This window comes from Homo sapiens, chromosome 4, assembly GCF_000001405.40.
Source record: "Homo sapiens chromosome 4, GRCh38.p14 Primary Assembly".
Classification (NCBI taxonomy): Eukaryota; Metazoa; Chordata; class Mammalia; order Primates; family Hominidae; genus Homo; species Homo sapiens.
In genome coordinates this window covers 152,146,153-152,152,888 of record NC_000004.12, presented here as the reverse complement: position 1 = coordinate 152,152,888, position 6,736 = coordinate 152,146,153, and the positions used below count along the sequence as shown (strand labels likewise).

The 6,736-nt window shown below is 42.5% G+C and overlaps 1 long non-coding RNA gene across 1 annotated transcript; it reads right to left on the bottom strand.

The window, feature by feature from the left end:
* Window positions 1-453: 453 nt before the first annotated feature.
* On the bottom strand, window positions 454-2,857 carry LOC124900800 (uncharacterized). Its single transcript, XR_007058333.1, has 2 exons — window positions 2,525-2,857; window positions 454-854 (listed from the first exon to the last, which is right to left on the bottom strand). It is a non-coding gene; the product is annotated as an uncharacterized LOC124900800 (long non-coding RNA).
* Window positions 2,858-6,736: the final 3,879 nt, after the last annotated feature.

Here is a 6,736-nt window from a genome sequence, read left to right as displayed (position 1 = left end):
TCATTACTTTATTGGATTGAACAACTGTCTCTTGGCAATTGCTGCTTCTCCTTTTTTTCTCCTTTTCCTCTTCCTTTTCTTTTAGATAGTAATGAACAATCTAAAATATCCTTCATTTGAGACTGGCTTGAACACATTTAAATTGCCATAGGCCTGTGGAATTCCTCCCCATCATATCTTCTAGGTTACATCTTTTCATACTCTGAAAACATTTGATTTTAATAAATCACATCTTTCCTTTTCAGTAACCTAAAACTTACTGATATCTCTCATTTGAATAAAGTAAAGCCTCTGGATAACTATGCATTAGATAAGATTTGTAAGAGTTAAATTAAGGACATCCCTTTCTCTCCTAAAAGAAGAGACTATTTTTAAAGTCAAAAGGAAAAAAATGAAAAGAAACTGACAAAAAGAAGAGTCAATGCCAATAAACACATATTGATCTGTGTGTGGTTGATGGTACAAGCCTCTGGCTGCAGATATAGCCATTTTTATTTTCTTAGCAGATGCTGGGCAGCTATGCAGGATAGTGGTCATTCTTCCTTTTCTCCTGTCTCTCCCTTTCTCTTTTTATCTCTAGTGCTCCATCCTGCCTCTTCCAAACACAGTGGAATCTGTATACCACCTTCAGGAGTTTTTGGAGGTGGTCTTGAAGTCTTAAAGCTGGCAAAGAGGGTGAAAGGTGCTGTTGGGCAGGAAAAAGATGTTTTTCCACTTTTCTAATTCAGCAGAGTCAGTCACTGCTCTGGGTCCAGGCAACTGAATCCTTGGGGAAACACACCATGAAACACACCAGTAAGGACCATGCAGGCAACTGCATGTTTGGTTTCTCTGTGTATCTCCTCGTACAGCTGCTGGGATATAAGAGATACCCAATGTTTGTTAATTGAATGAGGAAATGGGAATATCATGAACTTAGAGGAATTCTGGTGTAGGAGATAAGGACTTACTGCTCATCTATACACCATGGGATATGTTCAGGCAAGCAAACATCCTTCCTCTTCTGGGACCCCTTAGCTTTGCACACACTTGAGGAATCTCTCTCTCTCTCTTTTTTTTTTTTTTTTTTGATGGAGTCTCACTCTTGTTGCCCAGGCTGGAGTGCAATGGCACAATCTCAGCTCACTGCGGCACCTCTGCCTTTCGGGTTCAAGCAATTCTCCTGCCTCAGCCTCCCAAGTAGCTGGGATTATAGGCACCCACTACCATGCTGGGCTAATTTTTGTATTTTTAGTAGAGATAGGATTTTGCCATGTTAGTCAGACTAGTCTCAAACTCCTGACCTCAGGTGATCTGCCCACCTCAGCCTCCCAAAGTGCTGGGATTACAGGTGTGAGCCACCGCTCCCAGCCGAGGAATCTCTTCTTTGACTTTTCAGTCCTTTGAGACAAAGGAGAGCCTAGGGGCAGAGTTACCTAAAAGGTTGTGAGGCAAGAGGAACTAAGGGGCCTCCAGGTATGGTGGGGAGATCTAGTGTAGAAGTCAAACCAAATTGCTGTGCAAAAATCACCCAACCTCACATCTCCATGCCTTGGCCCAGCCAGTAGCTTTTGCCTAGAATATTCTTGTCTGTATAGGGAATTCCTACTCTTTTTCCTTAAAGATTCTGCCCCAGATTTCACCCTCCTTTGGAAGTTTTCTGATCCTTCTTGGCAACATTACATCTTCCTTCTCTGCTGATATAGTATTCTGTGTATGACTTTTTTTTAACACTGGATATTTATTTTCAGGTATCTGTTTTCTGCACTAGACTGTGTCTTCTGGAGGATATATTTTATTTATCTTGATTTGTTCTATGCTTAGCATAGTGCCTGAAACATGGTAGACATTTTAAAGAGGTTTGCTGAGTGGGAATCACATTACAAAGCACTGAGAATGCACAACGGAGAGAGCGCCGGCAGGGCTGCCCTGGACAATTGTGTAAGTTGTGAACTGCACATCTGGATGCAGTGGTTCTCATCTCTGGATCCCCAACATCTGGGTGGAGAGATGAGGAGCTTTGGGCTCAAAAAGAGGTCATCTTAGGGCCCTTCTGTCCCTTTCCACCTAGTCCCCAGGGCTCTGAAATGGTTTAAATTCTTGAGGAGACCATGCCTTCCAGGACCAAATGAAGTCCCTGCTTTCCCCCAAATCCCCCCCTCTGTACCTAGTGCCTCAGGTTTTCCCAAGAGATTGCAGTCTTGATCTTTCATTTCTTCAGTAAACAAATAGCTTGGAGAATTTTGGTGTGTTTTAGTTAAAGAATAATATTGAGACCAGATTTTTTTCCTGTTAGGATTACTTGAAGAGACTAGAAAGTAGAAAATCACTGTGCCCAGTTGGGTGGAAAGTGGGAGTGGGGTGGAGGGGAAAAGGTTGTAGAGAGACTATGTTAAAGACCAAGAAGACATCCCTCAATGCCAGGGGCCTGCCCTGTTAGCTCTTTCTGGGTAGGAAATAAGCAAATGTGCACACGTGAACTTGAAAAACAGCTAGGTTTTAACCACAATGGAAGGGAGGCTGGGGTTGGGAGAGGTGGGCTTACAGGGCAAGGCTGTTAAGGGAGCTGGCTCCTTTCTTTACCGGTTGAACATCTGTGTCCCCTCAACATTCACATGTTGAAACCTTACTGCCCGAGGTGATGGTATTGGGAGATGGGGCCTGTGGGAGGTAACTGGAATTGGATGAGGTCATAAAGGGAGCCCTCATGAATGGGATGAGTGCCCTTTAGGAGCCAGGAGATTTGCTCCCTCTCTCTGCCCTCCACCACATGAAGAGACAACCAGAAGCTGGCAGCTACCAGAACCTGACCCTGCTGGCACCCTGATCCTGGACACCCACACTCTAGAATTGTGAAAAATAAATTCCTGTTGTTTATAAGTCATCCAGTCTGTGGTACTTTGTTATAGCAGCCAGAACCAAGACACCTGGTTTCTCTTGTCTGGCCTCAGCGTGCATTGCCAGTCTCTCTCAGGGTTGTTCTGCAGCTGGGGGTGGGCATGGGCACAAGGAGTGCTTTGGAGCCTGGGGGAGGAGGAAGTGAGAAGAGGCCATCAGCGTGGTCTGGACCCACAGTCAGCCCTTCCCCGCTGTGAAACACCACCTCTTTTGAGTGTATTTTCTATGAAGCTAAAGAAATATTTGTCCTATTGCCAGACTTGAATGACATTAAACAGGGTCCAGCTTTGAGTCTTGGAAACTGGAGTTATAGAAGGAGGAAAGGATCTTGTCTACCACATTTGAAACTTGGATTTTAGATGAATCGCGTATAATTAGCACAAGCTAGGACAGAGGGTTCGAAAGTGTATTCTGAGGAACCTAAGATCCCTGTGGATATTTTTGAGATCGTTTGAGTATTTTGCAAACACTTGATTTGAAATTTTATTTTATTTTATTTTGAGACAGAGTCTCACTTTGTTGCCCAGGCTGGAGGGCAGTGGCACAATCTCCACTCACTACAACCTCCGACTCCTGGGTTCAGCCCTCCTCAGCCTCCCAAAGTGCTGGGATTACAGGCGTGAGCTACTGCACCCAGCTGAAATTTTAAAATACCATATATTTTAATGTAAACAAACAATATATTATATATCAACCTTTAACAATCAGCACATTAACTTGTGCCTGCCAACCTAATTTTGCGTGTATAAGCCCAGATATCGGAATAAAGCTTTTCCTGATATCACTGTTAAGTGAAGAGTGTCTTGAGTTTGCAAAGCAAATTAAAAAAAAAAACAAAAAACGAAACTGGTACTCCTTTTGCAGCTACTCATCTGTGGAAATTAGACTTCCCTCACTATTACACACTCAAAACAAAATGCTAAAATAAATTGGATGCTAAGACTGATATGACTTCAATTTATATCCATAACTCTCCATTTTAAGTTTTGTGTCTCAGCAATTCTTCATTATCTTCTTATAATAAAAGTTACAAATTAAAGCCTATAAAATAAATATTTAATAATAATTTGTCAATTTTAATCTGTTTTATACATTAGTGTATAAGAATTATTGCTGTTGCAAAGTACAGACACCCAACTAAAAATGGCTTAAGCAAAAAGAGGATTTATTATCTCACTTAAAAAGAAATTCCAGGGTTGGTTAATTTGATGGCTCAGAAACATCCTCAAGGACCTGGGTTCCTCCCGTTTTCTGTTTAGCCTTCCTCAGGGTGTGATCTTTGTGCTAACCCTTATCAAGGTGGCAGGAGGGCTGCCATAGTTCCAAGCACCCTGCACAGACATGGAAATATCCAATGGGGGAAAAGGGCAAAATGTCTCTGCCTAGGAAAGATTAATTTCTTCAAGAAGCTCCTGTGCAGGCCTCCTCTGCCATGTCCCAACCCTGTCTAAACCAGTTGTGGCAAGAAGGCCTTCCATAATTGGCCTTTCCTGAACCATGAATGGAAGATGTAGACCCTGAACAGGATCTGGGCTCAGCCAGCAAGAACAGAGAGGAGGAATGCTGCTGGTACTCTACTAACAGTGTCTGTGAGAATTTGGCTTCCTTATATGAATCATTTGATTAAACAATGTGGCTAGTTTAAAAATTGGTTGAAAAATCTTCTGGGAGTATTATGAACTTTTCCTGGGCTGGGCTGTGGGGCTGTTTTCACTGCTGGTCAGATTTTCTGGGACGGGAGAATTCCCACCTGTGTTAGCCTTGGCACCATCCGCCTGCTCTTCAGTGCATTTCCTTTCTTGTTAGCACTGGCTGCCATCTGTGTGGAAACTGACAGTTTACAAAATATTGTTATGTATATTCACCTATTTAATTCTCAAACTAGGAAGTAATCTCCAGGCTGGATGACCATTGAATCACCTGGGAGCATCTTGAAAAGAAGAGATTCATGGGCCTCCCGCTGGATCCACCGAACCAGAACCTCCTGAGGTAGAGCCTGGGAATTTATTTTTCAAAAAAGTACTCTAGGTATTTCTGCAATTATAGGAAACTGCAAGAGGTTTGGCATGGCTGGGGAATTGATGTCGCTGAGGATGAGGCTGCAGATGTGAGCAGGGGTCAGGTCTTACAGGGACTCCAAGTTTAGGACTTGGACTTTGTCCTGCAAGGCGGGATCAGATGAGCACCTTTGCAATGGCTCTCTGGTGGAACACAGTGGATTGACAGGTGATGGGCATTAAACCAAAGCAGTGGGAGTAGAAGAGAGGAAAGGGCAAAAGAGAGGCTAAGGAAATGCAATCAACAGGTCTTAGTTTCTAATTAAATTGAGAGGAAAGAAGACTGAAGTGGCTCCCAGTTGTCTAGCTTGGGTGATTCCCTCTCAACAGCTGGCTCTTCTGTCACTGGTTTCCTGGCTGAGGAAGACAGTGCTGTAGACAGAAAGATTCTCAACTCTTTCACCTCAGTCTTTTCTTAACTTCCCTCCCTATTCTTTCACTCCCTACTTGTTCGTCCTAATCCTGAACTTACCAGCATTGACTGCTGTAGTGATTTCCTAATTCTCCCTTCCTCTCTTACAACTCAACCTGACCATTCACCTTTCATCACAAAAGAACAGTCATAAATAACCAGGCTTCCATTGAAGATCTGCCTACTGACATTTTTTGTCTGCAGAAAAAAGGAATAAAGCAAGTCCATGTCAGCTGGAGAGAAAATATTCCTATACAACCAAAGCTAGGAGAGGAACAGTGTGGAGCTGATTTTGATTTAAAGAAAATGTTCATGGTTAAATGAAGAAAACAGTGAAAAGTACGTACTATGATGTCTACACTAGACCAGAAGATATTTGAATTCTCAAATTATACTATTGTTTACTGTATTCATTCTATTGCATTGTCTTCTAAGAAAAACAAATTCTAATGTTTTGCAGAAAGACTAATGGAAACTGCAAGAGGCTGGAAGGTGTTAATACCTATCCTTACCCATCATTATGGTCACGGCCAATGCTCCCATAACAAAAGACAGGTTAATAAAGGAAAAGTATAACCAATTTATTTTAATCAAGGTTTTCTCTGACATGGGAGGCTTCAGAAGTGAAGATCCAAAGACCCAGGGAAATCTGTCCATTTTTAGGCTTAAATTTAATGAAAAATGGATAGGAAAGAAGACTGGACAAAAAGGGTAGCAATATGGATTGGCTGTGTCCCCACCCAAATCTCAACTTGAAGTGTATCTCCCAGAATTCCCATGTGTTGTAGGAGGGACCCAGGGGGAGGTAATTGAATCATGGGGGCTGGTATTTCCTGTGCTATTCTCGTGATAGTGAATAAGTCTCATAAGACCTGATGGGTTTATCAGGGGTTTCTGCTTTTGCTTCCTCCTCATTTTTCTCTTGCTGCCATCATGTAAGAAGTGGCTTTCACCTCCCACCATGATTCTGAAGCTTCCCCAGTCATGTGGAACCATAAGTTCAATTAAACCTCTTTTTGTTCTCAGTTTCAGGTATGTCTTTATCAGCAGTGTGAAAACAAACTAATACAATACATTGGTACCAGGAGTGGGGTGTTGCTGAAAAGATACCTGAAAATGTGGAAATGACTTTGGAGCACAGGTTGGAACAGTTTGGAAGGCTCAGAAGAAGACAAGAACATTTGGGAAAGTTTGGAACCTCCTAGGGACTCGTTGAATGGCTTTGACAAAAATGCTAATAGTGATATGAATAATAAAGTCCAGGTGGAGATGGCCTCAGATGGAGATGAGAAACTTGTTGGGAACTGGAGCAAAGGTGACTCTTGTTACATTTTAGCAAAAAGACTGGTCGCATTTTGCCCCTAACCTAGAGATTTGTGGAACTTTGAAC